Below are 17,285 nucleotides of genomic sequence, written 5' to 3'. Positions count from 1 at the left end.
TAAAAAATTCTAATTTCCAATTGTTCATTAATAGTGTTGTAAAGTAGTGGGTCCCCCACCAGGGAATTTAAGGGCATATGTTGACTGCTTGAGTCCTGAAGGCTAGATGGTGAGCAAAGTTCATGGTGCTCAGCCGAGGAGCAGATGTCCCTGAAAACCAAAACATCCGGGAGCATATCTAGGTACATACCAAGAAGAACAGTTTCATCACATGTAGTAAGCAAAGACCCAGAAGAGTAGCTTTGGCCGGGCGCGGTGGCTCATGCCTGTAATCCCAGCACTTTGAGAGGCCAAGGCGGGCGGATCACGAGGTCAGGAAATCAAGACCATCCTGGCTAACATGGTGAAACCCCGTCTCTACTAAAAATACATAAGATTAGCCGGGCGTGGTGGAGGGCGCCTATAGTCCCAGCTACTCGGGAGGCTGAGGCAGGAGAATGGCGTGAACCCGGGAGGCGGAGCTTGCAGTGAGCCGAGATCCCGCCACTGCGCTCCAGCCTGGGCGACAGAGCCAGACTCCGTCTCAAAAAAAAAAAAAAAAAAGAAAAAGAAAAGAAAAGAAAAGTAGCTTAAAAGCAGCTTAGAGGAAGATGGTGGGCAGCAGGCGGATCTCTGGAGTTATCCCGCTGCCCTTTACGTAAGTCCTAATAAACTCATCTTCTCATGAAGCTGGACTTGTCTGAGTCCTTCTTTGTTATTCCAGCTCTATCTCTTTGGCAGAGGGATGTTCTTCTACACAGGTCTGGGTTTTTCCTGCAACAATTACATATAAAAAATAATTCTGTATATTAACATTATAGTGTTATAGTGCATAGTGTGAAATTACAAAACTCACAATTTATTTCTAGTAGCTTCACTTTTAATAATTTTAATTATTTTGTACTCACAATTTATTTCTAGCAGCTTCACTTCTAATAATTTTAATTATTTTGTACATAATGGAATATTGTGCATAGACCATCCACGAATCAAATAGAGTTTTATTTCTTCGTATCCAATTTGTATGCCTTTTGTTTATTTTTCTTACTTTAGTACACTGGTTAAAATTTCCAGTATACAGTTAAATAGTTCCTGAGGACAGGTTTCCTGTACTTCTTTTCTTCGTGCCTCTGTATAACGTATATTTAACTATATAATACATACAACACAACTATGTTTGTCTTCATATAATTTTTTTACCTTTTTTTTAGTTTGTTTACATAGCCCCTATATCTCTAGAAATGTTTCTTGGATTTACGATTTGATTGCCTTCACTTCTTTTGGAAAATTCTCATTCATTTTGTTATTAAGTATTTATCATCCTTGTTCTCTTTCATGAATCCGTTCAAGTTAGGCATCCAGAGCTGTCCTTCAGCTCTTGGATGCCATGTTCTGCTATTTATCACTCTTCTTGTTTCTTACTTGTATTTGTTATTCAATTTCTGTGTTTTTTATCTTCAACTTTACTGTTCCATTCTTTATTCATATCAAGTCTTCTGATGAATTACTTCATTGGTGTTTGCATTTTGAGGTAGATACAACAGTATATCTATTGAGACATTAATTAGTGCAATTAAACCGAAGTTTAACACATTTTAAGTAAAAATTTATCCCCCTATCGCATAAAACTTGTGAAAGTTAAAGTCATCAGCACTTAATATTGTCTGTCATGTGAGGCAATCGGCACTCAAGTGGCAAATGCACTCATTTAACTCTAAATTGCTACTTTAGTTAATCTCTCATATTGATTTTTTTAACCCTTAAACACTGGCAAAGAGAAGCATACACATAAAGAGAGATTTTTTACATTATTGTTTATTTAGTTAGTTTTTAGAAACAAGGTCTCCTCTCTCTCTCAGGCTGGAGGGCTGTGGTGCAATCACAGCTCACTGCAGCCTCAAAATCCTGGGCCCAAGCATACCTCCCACCTCAGCCTCCCAAGTAGCTTGGATTACAAATGCCTGCCTCAGTACCCGGCTACTTTTAAAACATTTTTTGATACACATAGGGTCTCAGTTTGCTGCTCAGGCCGGTCTCAAACTATTGGTCTCAAGCAATCCTCTTGCCTCAAGCTTCTAAAGTTCTGGGATTACAGGTTAACCAGGACACCTGGCCTAGAGGTTATTTTTTGTTGTTTTAGTTTCTTTATTTAATAGTCTGTGTATTTAAATTTTGTTGACAATAATCTTAACAGCAACAATAGTATCTACTTGAAAGGTATGCATTCTATATATAATTCCTTAGATATAAATTTAAGTATAAATATTTGAAAACTCTTTAATTTTTTAATATTGTGTCCCATTTCTTAAAAAAGAGAGAAGCTATATTAACTTTTGAATTCAGTACACAGTTAACAGTTCTTTCATTTAATATGTGATAATATAAATTTAACAGTGAAACTTTCAAATACTCATATTAACTTACCCTGATAGATTTTATAGCTTTAATATAAAACTTCTCATAAATGTAAAATTTGACAAAGCACAATATTCTCCAGGAAGTCAGAAAAGTAATATAATTTTCTGTCTCTCAGAATGTGTTTTCTAACCTCTAAATATAAATTGATGGACTAATCTTTTAAAATTCAGAATCAAATATAATTGCTTTGGTTTAATCATTGAGAATTCTTTTTCCATTCCATCATTTTATAGTTTTTGCCTAAATAAAATACTTAAGGAAGTTATTGTTATGTTGTATTTGAAAGATGCCTGATGGAGAAACATTCATAGCTCTTTTCTATCCTTATGAAAGGTTATATGAAAACATATATATATATATATATTTATATATATAAATGTGGATAAAGTACAGAAAATCCTATCATTGCCTCTGACTCAAATGGTAATCTTTAATATAAAGATTTGAAACTTTCATGGAACAGTATATCAGAACTTTATTTCCAATTTGTTTATGTATACTTAACGTATATCCTAAGTATCAAGAAATCACATTCAATTAACATATACATTATAAAACAATTCCTATATGATAATTCTAATAAGTAAACATGATTTTAGTGGTAGTAATTATTCAATCAAATATTCATATTTTAAAGATTAAATCTTCATATTTTAAAGCACATTACATCAGTTTACAATTCGATATTGACTACTGGATAGAATTTATCAATGAAATTTTGAATATGCCATGGTTAATGCAGATCATGTGAATTAAATTGCAAGGCAGAGAGCTTTTAAATTAAAAAAATAAGCTGGTTTATAAATCCAGTGCTAGATAGTTAGTAAAAGCAATACATGTAAATCTCCCAGACACCTCCCAATCTTGGTATTTTGAAATATTTTCCTCTTTTTAATATTATTTAAATAAAAAAATTATCTGCCTTTAAGCAACAAAACATGAACTCTTGGTAGAAAATTCACTAATTGACATAGGTATGTAGACTTATAAACCTGTAAAAAATGTGAAATAGAAGGCATAAAGTATTTGAGTCAATAAATTACTAACTAAATATTTTAATTAAATCAGCTTTATAAAAAAAGTAAACATAAACACATAAGTCTTTGTATAAGCACCCCTACATTTTTAAAAGTATATTTGCCTTTTCATAAACTCAGTTGAGTAGTGGTAACATTCATCATCACAACTTTTTAGAGGCAATGAAATTGATGTCATTTGAGATCTTCATCTTTTATTTTCTTATTTTGTCATGTTTAGCAAAGGATAGTAAAAGTAGAGGATCATTCAACCCAGAAATACAGGGAAACTGATCCTTGTAAATAGCACCCTTTATAGACTAATGGATGTTTTAAGAGCAAGATGTGCTAGAAAGGAAAATAAGGCAATCTCTTAATGCTGTGCCTTTTCTTCCATTATATTTTTAGATTATATATTATCCCTTGTTTATTTCTGTAGCTGGGGAAAATATTTTTATTGAAATAGATTGTTTTTTGAAGTTTGCTATATTAGGTAAAAATAAATACCAAACTTCTCTGTCTTCAGTTTAATAGAAAAAAAAAATCCCTTGTTACTCTGTTTCTGCCTTACTGTTAGTAGAAAGATTTATGATTAAGTAATTTTAGTAGGACAACATTAAGAACAAAAACATGAACCAAAATACTTTTTAAAATAAATATACACATTTTTACTATATATAGACACATATATAAAAGTATATATACATATATGTATATATGTGACTTCAATAACAGGAAAATAGATTTTCCAGATGAAGAATCTAAACATCTCATCCATAACAAAAGCTTAGGCTCTATACCAATGCTTGAATGAAAACTGTAATATCATCCATTTAAAAAAATGCCAACACATGCATAATTTTAGGCTGTAAAAATGAAAATATTTCAGAATTGATTAACAAATGGTGGAAGTTAAAGTTGTCTCTTCCCGACCTGCACTTTGTTTTCTGTCTCTTGCCTTTTCTCACATTTTATTTTTCCTTCCTATCTCAACAATATACCCCACCTGCAGTGTGCCCAATGTGGACACATACCTGCTTTTTTCAGGCACTGTTTTGGACAACATTTCCCTACTGAGCATTAAATCACTTTTTCTTAAATATGTACTAAAGATTTCCATGGCTGAAAAGCTAGTTCCACATACATTAATAATCCTTGAAGAATTAAATCAGATACAACCTCTACATCAGCACAATATTTCAAGGTGGTAAGGGAGTGCTACTGCTGGGTTTGTCTTCACTTAATAACTTTATTAATGATGTGGATGAGTGAACAAATATGAAAAGAAAATTTATAGGTATTACATATGTAGATTCTGCAGAAACAAATAGGCTGGAAGGTAATGACTGTAGAATGACCTAGAGAGGTTAAAAAAAGAAAATAGTAGTCCAATATTATTCCACTTTTAAGTAAATGAGACCATTAAGCTCTTTAAAATAACCAGTAGATAAAAACTCAAAGCAATGATAGCTACATCAAAAAGTGAGGGAAGAGGGGAAATTATATGTTGCAATGTTACAGAGTACATTAAAGCATTCAGTATATTTCCTGAAAATTTCGTAAGCACAGTTCTTAATGTTTATTCATAAATAAACAAAACCAAACCAAAAGCCATAGTTCATTTGTTTCTAACTAAGAGTACAAATTATTTATGCGGAAAAGTACATATAAGCTCACATAAATAACATGAATAATGTTTTCATTGTGAAGATATTCATAACGTTAAAATGACAAGGTCTTAGGAACTCTGCACCTTCATTAATTTTAATCAATATTTAACATCAAGATTGTTTTCAATAAATCATGATCTAATAATGAAAGGGGGAAACTATTTGTTTTAACTTTCATTTCGGTTTTACCCTTTACTCACAAGTTGAAATTCATTCTCACTCTTTGCAAACTATTTTGAAACATTTCCAGGTAAAATTCATATAAATATTTTATTTTTCCTAATTTTTGGAAAAATTTTAGACTATTACAATCTGAGTTAATAGCCTAGTTCCTTTGTTGATCCAGTGTAAATAAATATTTCTCTTTTCTTGCTGTATTAAAAAACTCAGTCTCTATAACCAAGTCTATATCTGTATCGATATCTATCTGTATCTGTATCTATCTATGTGTATCTCTATCGATGTATGCATACACAAATAATATCTGTGGAAGAATTTTTTTTCGTGTAGTGTAATATCCACAGCTCTTCTACTTTAACCATAACTCAGGTTAATAACATTTTATTGTCTTTTGTTAGTTTTACCTGGAAAAGAAAGCACATCATATACAATATTATAAAATAGAAATAAAACTAAATATAGTGTTTTAGAAGGTAACAAAGTTTTATGTTTAAGGATATTAAATAAAATCTATTTCTTCCAGTATATTTTTTCACAATCTGTCTTAAATGGAATCTGCAGTTATCTTAACAAGTTGACTACTAGATTTTGTAGTGTATTCCAATCAGTTATCTATCTGAGGCCACTCTTTTTTTAATAATCTAGGCTTCTGTAGACAATGTGGAAACATTTTTAAAATGATGACGCCCTCCTTTTCCTTCGTAGCTAAATCAGTACACAAAATTCTAATTATTTCCTTAGTTTTAATAATAATAAAGCAATATAAGATTCACCCTCTGTATTCAATTCTTTGTTACCAATTCTGCTATAATTAGAATTTTTGAAATTCTTAGTTATAACCTTTATTTTTGATAATTGCATTTAAAATGCAATGATAAAGCAAATAATTAAAGTGCTAGGAATAAAATTGTCCTTTATTAGTTTATCATAAAGTTCCATAAATTTCAGCTCTCCTTGATTTCTCATTATTCTAGTTCATCAATTTTGTAATTAATCATTAAACATTATTCTTTCTCTGTATTAAAAATATTAGCAATTACAAAATCCCTATTTAATATTACATTTATTGTTTTAGTTTGATGCTTTTTTTTTAGTGATATGTACAGATGACAAAAAAATGATGTGCAGCCTTTGTGTTCCATTTATTGTTGTGTAAAATAAAATTTCATCAATCTTGGATAAAAATTCTTAGGCCTATGATTATATTTGAAGGAAACACTAACTAACTTCTGACATGATTATTTACAACACACATTTTCTTAACTTGTCTTCCATTTTAATGGAGCTATAAATAGCTTTGGCAAATTTTTCTGCTTTGCTGTTAATTTAACTCAGTAGATTTATTGAAATTTTAAGACACCATGTTATGCAAGATTTAGGGTATGTGACTACTCTTTCCTCCTGTGTGGAGGTCGACATTGCCACAGGCTAATACCATAGTTCCCCTAACTGGTCCCCTCCCAGAAGTGAGTTGCAAGTTCCTGCTGACTTTCAGAATTATTTCTCCATGTTTATGTCATTTTGATGCAAGAGAGGTCAATACACAGGTATGTCATCAAAATAATATTTAGACTATGTCGTTCCCACAAAAATCAACTTATATGCCATGTTTTACTCACTACCAAGGTCTTGTTGAATACTACTTGTTTCATTCCTCTAGCCAGGAGACAACCTAGCAGGTATACTGCCTGAGCACCAAGAAGTTATCATATAATTTATGTTTCATTGACCTCTCTTACCTTGTCAAATTACCCACAATAATTTTGGTAAAGTTGCATCTAACTTGGTATGGACTAAAAATACTTGCGTCGCCCCCAAAATTTGTATGTTAAAACCCTAATTCCACTGAGATGATATTTGGAAACAGGGCCTTTGGGAAATAATTAGGTCATGAGTCTCTCTCTTTCTTTCTCTCTCTCTCTCTCTCTCTCTCTGTCTGGTCTCTCTCTCTGTCTCTTTATGAGGACATGACAAGGATTGGAGGTTTTACCTGTAACCATTGACTGGCACCTTTATCTTGGACTCTCAGCCTCCAGAACTCCGAGAAGTAAATTTCTATTGTTTAAACCAGTCAGTGTATATTGTTTTTGTTGTTGTTATAGCAGCTTGAATTAAGACACAATTTTCCTAAAACTTAAAAATGTCAGATTGGTGGATAAAATTGTATTTCATTGTGCTTTTTTCTTCAAGCCTTATACCTCTGACTCCAAACTCATAGTAACCAGTGTAAGACATGGTAGAATCTTTCCACTAGTGCTTGGGACACTATTTATAGTATCTACCCAATCTAATTTTAATGAAAAAGTTGAAGGTTGGTATAAAAAAATGTTTATCATCTAGGAGTTCCAGGATCAATTCAACATACTTGTGATGGTCTCATGTAGTAGCAGTGACAGTCAACTACAAATGGTGCCTGAACAGGGACATTTCAGAGACTATCAGGGACATACAGAGACCTGAAAGGACCTGGAGGGACCTGAAGAGGCCTGCAGGGATAAACAGAGATAAGTAGAGATAAGTAGAGAAAAGTAAGTAGAGATAAGTAAGTAGAGAAAAGTAGAGATAGGTAGGGAAAGACGGGGACTTGCAGGAACTTGCAGGAACTAACAGGTACCATAGGGACAGACAGAGACAGATAGGAATAGACAAAAGACTAGCAATATAAGATCAGTGCCCTGAAGAGGTACTAGTCAGTGTCCTAAAGAGGTACAAAAGTAGAGACTAGCAAAGACTAGGAGAGATTTGGAGGAACAGACAGGGACAGATAGGGACAGATAGGGTCCTATAGGGACTAGAGCGAGGAAGGTCTGCTGGAACAGAAAAAACTAAAACCAACTAGATGAACGAGAAAGCCCATTACAACTCTGTTGGCAGCAACATAAGGTTAGTGCTCTAAAAAGGTACTGGTCAGTGCCCTAGAGGTACAAAGAATGGGAAGTTTTTAAAACAGGGAAACATGAGGAAGAATTTGGCTATTTCTTTTCTCTTTTTTGTTTGTTTGGAGTTTTGGTATGTACCATCTTTTTGTTATTTAGAATTTTTTGCCCCACCTACAGTGCCTATCGAAAATGGTGAACAGAAGAGGGAGAATGAAAATTGGCTTGTATCGTCTTCTTTTGTGGCTACAGAAAGGCTAACTTTAGCTTTGGCTTTCATGGATTGTAAACGTGCACTGGCACCTGTGAGATGTGCAGAGGACTTGGGAGGCTTTCTCAGAGCTTGTCAAGATGTGGGAACTGAGCTTCATTGCTCTGCACTATTGACTCAGGCAATAGCAAATTTGGTAGCTGACAGATCTAAAAGAAGCCAAGGGTCAAGCCCTAAAGTGGGAAAGTGTTATAAGTGTAGAAAACTTGGACGTTTCAAAAGAGAATGCCATCAGACCTCTGTGAAAAAGAGATCTTGTAACATAGTCCCCCTCTTAACAGAAAAAAATGCCGGGACTTTGCCCTCGATGCAATAAAGGAAATCATTGGGCTAATCAACGCCACTCAAAATTTCATCAAAACGGCACCCCCCTGTTGGGAAGCAAGAAGGGGGCCTGGACCCGGGTACCTCAAACTATGAGGGCGTTCCCCGTCCAGGCCACAACTCCGTTTCAGGGGTGGGTTTCCAGAGGCACATTGATTCCCTCGCCCCAGGAACACCTGGAAACGCAGGATTAGATCTTCTAGAGAACCAATTACATTAAATGAAAGAAACAAACTCACTAAGATTCACATTAGTATTTGGTGATCTTTGCCAACAAGATACATGGGATTGATTTTGGTAAAAGCTCTCTTAACTTACAGGCCCAGGAGTTGTTGATTTTGATTGTGAAGGAGAAATTCAGGTAGTGGTAACGTCACAAGATCTTTGGGTTTTTGAACTGGGAGAATACGTTGCTCAATTTTCGCTTCTTCCCTGTAAATTGTACCCTTCTCCACATAAGAAGAAGCGAGGTGGTCAGGGATTTGGAAGTGCAACTAGGAGAGAGATTTATCTATCACCACCCATAGCATCTAGTGGACCCACCTGTACAGTGCAAATTGAAGGTTTAAGGATTGCTTTTTGCTATACTGTTTTACGAGAAGGATAAGCCTCGATTTGCTTTCTCTGTGCCGTGTGTTAATCAGAAAGAGCCTGCTTCTTGTTATCAGTGGAAAGTTTTACCCCACGGCAATTAACCAAAGAGGCAGAAGGTGAGTTACAAATGTTTCAGCAATGGCGTGCCTCCCGGCTACAGCAAAAAAAATAAAAAATAAATAAAAAAGAAAACACTTTTGATTCTGTTTGGTAGATTTACTAATGTGGGGACGAGGGTATACTTACGTCTTTGCAGAAGATGAACAAACCGAGTGGGTGCTCTCAAGGTGTGTACGACCGTGGAACAGGAGACTGGAGGGACCCATGGATCCCAACCATGGACCTTGTTCCCCCAGTATGAACCATGAACCAGTTGAATCTGAATGCAAAGATGGAATGAGGACCACTAGAAGCAGGGAGCTCTCTTCTTCCCCATGCTAGCCTTTCCTTAAAAGTTTCTTTTGTTTTTTGTTACCATTTCTATGTTCGTCTCTTCATTCAGTCTAGTAATGACGGTCTCAAGTAGTAACCGTGGCAGTCAGCCACACTTAAATCTTAATGCTTTTGAATTCTAGAAGGAACTCAAAAAGAGACAAGTCAGTCATAGTAGTAATACACGGAGAATGAATTGTGAAATCTAAGAGACTGAATATCATGTCAAGCATAAGCTTTTTCAAAGCAATTAAATTGGGCTTTTAATGACATTACTTAGACTTTCCAGACAAAATGTGTAACAATACAGCTAATTTTAATAAAATGACTTTGAAATCCCCAAACTCAAATATAATCTCATGAAGTAATTGTTTGTGATAACGCCTTAATATGTTTTATACCATCATTATGAAAAACAGTGCAAGAGAAAGGAGAAAAAATTCTTTATTGTGAGTTAAAAACTTTGAAACCTAAATCAATCATTTTTATTGTTTCAAGAAATATTTCCCCACGGCTACTTTAGTAGCAAAATCAAAGTCAGGAGCCCAGGCTTCTGTAAACAAAGTTTAATTTTATCCCCTCCCCCTTTCTTCTCTGTCTCATAATTTTCTCAGTACTTTTTAAGGAGCGAGAGGCATCCCCATGAATGACGCTGTTATAGGTTCTAAGGCAGAGGATGTGATGATGATGATCTTTGGGAAACGGTGAGGTGAATGTTGTCCACAAAGCTGCTTTCTAGTAGGGTGTCTGTGGGAAACTATACCCCTTCTGTGGGGTCTTCTGAATGTAGCTAATACTATTTTTGTTTGGGCTGGAAGTTTTTTATTATTATTATTTTTACACTTTAAGTTCTAGAGTACATGTGCATAACGTGCAGGTTTGTTACATATGTATATATGTGCCGTGTTGGTTTGCTGCACCCATTAACTCATCATTAACATTAGGTATTTCCTCTAACAGGCCCCTGTGTGTGATGTTCCCCACCCTGTGTCCAAGTGTTCTCATTGTTCAATTCCCACCTGTGAGTGAGAACATGCAGTGTTTGGTTTTCTGTCCTTGTGATATTTTGCTGAGAATGCTGGTTTCCAGCTTCATCCAAGTCACTACAAAGGACATGAGCTCATCCTTTTTTATGGCTGCATAGTATTCCATGGTATATATGTGCCAGATTTTCTTAATCCAGTCTATCATTGATGGACATTTGGGTTGGTTCCAAGTCTTTGCTATGATTAATAGTGCCTCAATAAACATATATGTGCATGTGTCTTTATAATAGCATGATTTATAATCCTTTGGGTATATACCCAGTAATGGGATGGCTGGGTCAAATGGTATTTCTAGTTCTAGATCCTTGAGGAATTGTCACACTGTCTTCCACAATGGTTGAACTAGTTTACACTCCCACCAACAGTGTAAAAGTGTTCCTATTTCTCCACATCCTCTCCAGCACCTGTTGTTTCCTGACTTTTTAATGATCGCCATTCTAACTGGTGTGAGATGCTGTCTCATTGTAGTTTTGATTTGCATTTCTCTGATGACCAGAGATGATGAGCATTGTTAAGTTCTATCCTCTCCATATGTCCATGGGGCTGTTGGAAATATTCTTTTTCTGGGCTTCATGCTGTGCCCAGAGCATTTCCTTTTTCCTTCTCTTTTTTAAGGCGAGGATGCATCTGTTTTCATAAGGTTTGTGATAAAACAACACTCAAGTTTTGCAAGTTACATGATTGTCATCATCATCGCACTAATTTTTTATGAAATATGCATTTTAATTACTTCCAAGAGGGTTTATTTCTAATGAAAAAATTAAACAATAAATAATTTTAGACTTACCCCATGCAAGAAATGACAAATTCACTGAAGCAAACATGTTTAGGCTACACTGTATACAATCTACAAATTGCCTGCTCAGTCTCAGTTTCTTGCATATATTTCTCATACATCTAAATGTTAATTTCCACACTTCTGTCTCTCTGAATCCCTGGCAAATGGCAATAGCTAGTGACTTTGCATTCACATATCAGAAAAACATGAATCCGGACACACTTCCGGGAGCATGGGACGTGCTAGGAATTTACTGGATAATAGGAACTGGTATGTTATTTTGAGAGTGCTAAAATTCTCCCAGTGAATGTAACTTTGCCTATATTTTATATAACTTATTGGTTTTGGTTTGATAATTAAAAATATCAAAATTATCCTGGGGCAGGAGCCAAGGATGGTATTATACAGTGAGAAGTGAGTCCTACATGTCAGTCTTGTCATTTTCTTCCTCAGATAAAGTGCAGAATTTTGTCATCAGTAATATGAAAGAGAGATTTTACAGAAAAATTGCCAATTTTTGTCCATGAAGATGAGGGCAATATGCTAACTATCAATGGACTAAAAGATGGCATATATTTTTTAGTAGGACATCCATGCAAGACTGCATTTCTTACCTGTTGACTATTACAGTAAATAGAAAATAATTATTTTAATTAAGTGACTACAATTTAGGGCATTTGTTGTAGAAATTTACAAATGTTTCACATTGCTTGACTTCAGGGGGCACCATTTTTACATCATCCATTTCTAATAGCATGGCCAAGAGTATACTCCAAGTAACAAATGAGGTATAGCATATGAGACAAAGTAGAAACACTTAAGGGGTTAAAGAAATTTTCACCCGTATCTCTATGATGCAAAGGAAAGCAAAAGACAAAGAAACAAGCAAAAAAGAACAAGTGGTCGCCAAGCTGGACTGCAGTGATAAAACCATGGCTCACTGCAAACTCTGCTTTCTGAGCTCAAGCAATCCTCCCACCTCAGCCTCATGGGTAGCTGGGACTACAGGTGCCCACCACCACTCCTGGCTAATTTTTGTGTTTTTAGTAGAGACAGATTTTTGCCACATTGGCCAGGTGGGTCCCAAACTCCTGAGCTCAAGCAATCCATCCACTTCGGCCTCCCAAAGTGTTGAGATTACAGGCATAAGCCACCACACCCGGCCGCTGCATTTTTTTTTAATGGGAAATAACAAGCATATTCATTACATATAAAATGACATATTTAGAAATTTTGTAGGCTTTATAAATTCTGTTGGATAATGGAAAATTTTTTATTGTATTTTTTGTGTATGAGAATATATGTTATAAAGTAAAATCTACATAGAGGGAAATGGGATTGTGAAGATAGTAACTATAGGTGAGGAGATGGATGAAAGAAAGGTCTTACACTGCTGTAAGGAGCTGTTACTATATCTTCTTCATATTTTTGTAAAACATATCTTATTAGAAGACTTAAGTTACTTATTTTTTTCTGATATGTATATATTCACCTCCATTTTGAAGGCTATTAGTCTGGGAAACCTACAAGAACATTGCGTAGGCAAGCTCAAGTATGTTAACAACAACAAAAATAGTTCTGTGAATGCCTTTACATAATATAAGGTCTACATATTCTCTCTACATCTGTGCGCCGTAAGACTGGATTTTGAAAAGCTAAGGCATAGACTGATAGCTCTTTACCACACTTGTTTTTTCTTCTTTCTGGATACATAGCTTGGCTATATTTCCATGCAACTGTGTCCCGGTTAATGTGTACCACTTTTAGAGGGTGGTACATATAAATGTTTCTTCCAGTTCTTTCAACATGTGTCATTTGAAAAAGGAGAACTCTGAAGCCCTCTAGGAAGTTGGAGCTATAATACTGGAGGCCAGTTTCCTGAATTACTCCCTGGTAAAAGCCACCCAGACAAGAAATGCCTTTATTTGAATGTTATTAATGAGAAACACATTTTAAACTTTCAGCCACTTTAACTTTGAGGATTGTTTGTTAAAACAGCTGGTGTTACCCAAACTGTTATAGGAGTCTACTAAATGTCATTTCATTTTTTTCCCTTCTCAAACTCAGAATGAATTGGGAGATAGCCGTGGGCGTTAAAACTGTTTCAAGAAGTGCAACTTAGCGTTCAGGGCTGACCTCATGAGCTTCCAGAGACATTAGAGTAAGTGACCCTTATTCTAGTTTCGAAGCTCTGTTCTAGTTCTAAGCATGCAAATAAATTTTAAGCAGGATTTCTTAGCCTGCAGGAGCTGAGGATGATTAATAAGTCCTGCTGTTATGCATAAATGCACTGACCTATACTGTGCCCTTCAGTCAAATTGTATATTGTTTAATTGTGATAAATGAAGTGCACCAGGCACAGATAAGCTAGTCCCTGGAATATGTCCAGATACACCTGAAAGAAGAATGACTCAAGCTGGGTGTGTAAAGCTACACTTTGGAGGATAGAGCTTCCCACAGGTGCAATGGAACTCTCACTTCTCACTTGCTCAGAAATTATGATCTGCAGTGTGAGTCTCCCCTGGTAAGGAAACATGTCCAGCTCCTTGAAACATGTTCTAGAGAATAGCATTCATTACCCTCCCATGAACTTAAACATGCTTCTTGGCTCCTGTGCATTTTAGGTAAGTAAGCTTTGATTTCCCCAGGTGGTGTCGGTGTCTAGTCTTTTCATAAACTTGCACTTACTATTAACATGGAGAGGACATCCACAGGCCAAGACACATTGCCATGTCTTGCATTAGAAGCAAATGAACCTAAAGTTTTTTTGTAAACAACTTATGAAGTTTCATTTGATTTGATTTGATTTTTAATAATTCCCTGAAATGCTGTGATAATTAGAGTAGTGAATTCATTTCTGGTATGTTTTAAAAGTAATTCAAGGAAAATAATTTTGCAGAATCCTGATTTAGATAACATGAATAGTGAATAGGAAAATGATGAAATTGTTGCTGCTTTTTATAGAGGCTTAGAATCATGGAAATCATTTGCTTTAAGGTATAAAAGGGAATAATTTCATTTTCTACTTTTTACTTTAAATTTCTGTTATCTATGTCTACATGCTTCTGTCCATTTCTTCATAGTTTGTTTTTAAATAATATGCTTCTACCATTCTCTTAAAGCTATTTTAATTTTTTAGCTTGAATATAAATTGGTTGATACTGGCTGCAAATTATTTTTGGTATTCTAATTTGTCTATTTTTCTTTTTCTTGAAATGGAATAAATAAGCTTCACACACACACACACACACACACACACACACACACACAACCCTAAACAAAAAAAAAATCACACAGCACCAGCAAACTACTAGGATTTACTGTAGGATAAAAGCTCTACATGGCCCTGCATACAAACTTTCTGCATACTTCTGCAAATTTTTATGCATTACTCAATCCATTAAAAATCACCTTGGAAGAAATTGCAAACACAATAGAAACTAAATGAGATAGTCACAGAGAACAACAAAAATAGTAATTTAAGCTCCCATACAACATCAAGGGTGTTCAGTCTATTTTTGGTTCTTCGGGTTCTCTTTAAAATTGAATTGAGTTTGTATATGCATATGTATGTAGGAGTGGAGGATGGAATTAATTATCCCAAACATCCTACACTCACTCCTCTAATATTTATTTTGTTAACATGCAAATCTGTTCTCTTCATTACGGTGATACTGCATTTAAATTACAACACAATTAGAGATCATTAACTTTCTCCTTTATAATCAGCCATTTTCATAGGCCTTTGATATACAAGCACCTGTAATATATTCTTACCCATCTCACACTTTGATTTACCGAAGTGTCAAAACAACATTTTTACATCATTGATATTTGTTTTAGTTTCTGCAAGCTGGCTGTTAGAGGATGATTACTTCTCTTAAATTACCTCTTACCCTCATCTTGCTATCTTTTTAAAAGGAAAGAAAAAGCACTATAAAAATCAGACACTTTGGGTTCTGAACCTTTTATTTTGTGGGAAAAGATACTTATTTATGTATGCTAAATCACACTGATGCGGAAGACAAACTGGCTCTTCGTTATTTTTTTTTGGCACTTTATAGAGGAAATGTGTGGAGAACAGATCTTTCCTAAGGTATTATATTCATGTGCCTTAAAGATTAAGAATACTCAATGCGCCAAGAAGTGCTATATACCAGAAAAGTTTGTATCGATTAATGTATCTAAATTCAGTTAAAGTTTCTTTCAATTTAATGTGCTTGCAGATGTATAATTGCATGTTTAAGTTTTGCAGTTATGTACTAAATCTGGTGCTACACTTCTAATGTCTAAAGGTTTTATTCAGTTTCAATTTATTTGTTTTATAGTTTGCCAGAATGTGCTTATGAAAGGCACTCTCAGTCATAAAAATAAAATTATAAGCAGACTGGCACATAACTATTTTTTAAATAATAAACTTTCTGATTTTAGAGACTTGTATTCTTTTATAGGTCCTGGTTCTCTTTCACTCTCTGACCTATAAGAACCCATACAGCATGCGTTGCTGTGTATAGAAAAGCAGTAAAGGGAAGTACAGCCACCTTTTAGGTCCCATGAATAGCAAAATCTCTTTGACTAATCTCTTGTTTCAGGGTACGTCCACTCCTTGTTTAAAGAATGTAACTGGCTGGGCATGGTGGCTCACTCCTGTAATCCCAGCACTTTGGGAAGCCAAGGCGGGCAGATTACAAGGTCAGGAGTTTAAGACCAGCCTGGCCAATATGGTGAAACCCTGTCTCTACTAAAAATACAAAACCTAGTCGGCCGTGATGGTGGGTGCCTGTAGTCTCAGCTACTCAGGAGGCTGACTCAGGAGAATTGCTTGAACCCAGGAGGCAGAGGTTGCAGTGAGCCAAGATTGTGCCACTGCACTCCAGCCTAGGGGACAGAGTGAGACTCCATCTCAAAAAAAAAAGAATGTAACCACACTCAATAGTCACTAGCACATTGTTTTAAATAGACTATATACTGAAAGATATCTGCTGGATATAGAATGACCTCAGGAAAAAGTCTAGACACTATAATCCATCTCACTTGCCAGCATTTAGCGACCTTTCAGCTTCATTACTGACTTTCACCCAATGTCCCTTAGGTGAGTGACTTGAGTCCTCTTTCATAATATTTGGCAGGAGAAAAGATGAGGTCATTGCTCCATCAATCCCATCATGTCATGTCTGCTCATGTGTCATAGCTTATAAATAGTCACATGGTTCTGTCCAAGTGCAAGGGGGGCATTGCAGGTAGAGGTCCGTCTCCATGTGCCTTGAAAAGAAAATAACCAAATATCAGGGGAAAACAATAATATGAGCCATAGTGCCTGATATATACTATGACATTCATAGAGATTTAATGAGTATTAATCAGGATTCAATGGCTGCAGGAGACAAACAGTTTCACAAACGAGGGTAATTAACTGGCTCATAGGCAATATCTCAAGAAAGGTGGGGTATTGTTATACTTTATGTGTTGCAGAAACATAGATGCTCCAATTTTACATGTTCTTTCTGTGTATGTAACATTCTTTGCCTTCTGGGTCTCAGCTTTATCTCTCAGGTTGACGTCTGTCACAGCTGTAGAGATACTCACTGTCAATTCCTAGTTTCACAGTCTCCCATTTTCCAACGGAGTCTTACTCTTTCTTTGTTTCCAGTTCAAATATATTATTGAAGAATCCTGGTTCTTAATTTAGCTTCGGGACCTA

At 35.3% G+C, this 17,285-nt stretch overlaps 2 long non-coding RNA genes across 3 annotated transcripts in view; one reads left to right on the top strand and one right to left on the bottom strand.

The window, feature by feature from the left end:
- Positions 1-17,285, top strand: part of LOC124900950 (uncharacterized) — a 153,441-nt gene that overhangs the window by 49,342 nt on the left and 86,814 nt on the right. The window lies entirely within an intron of this gene.
- On the bottom strand, positions 9,656-16,665 carry LOC124900951 (uncharacterized). Of its 2 annotated transcripts, none has more exons than XR_007058712.1 (3): positions 16,619-16,665; positions 9,804-9,899; positions 9,656-9,707 (listed from the first exon to the last, which is right to left on the bottom strand). It is a non-coding gene; the product is annotated as an uncharacterized LOC124900951 (long non-coding RNA). The 2 variants fall into 2 exon arrangements; XR_007058711.1 differs by having other exon boundaries at positions 9,804-9,909; positions 16,619-16,663.

This window comes from Homo sapiens, chromosome 5, assembly GCF_000001405.40.
Source record: "Homo sapiens chromosome 5, GRCh38.p14 Primary Assembly".
Taxonomy (NCBI): Eukaryota; Metazoa; Chordata; class Mammalia; order Primates; family Hominidae; genus Homo; species Homo sapiens.
This window is presented reverse-complemented; position numbering and strand designations above follow the sequence as displayed.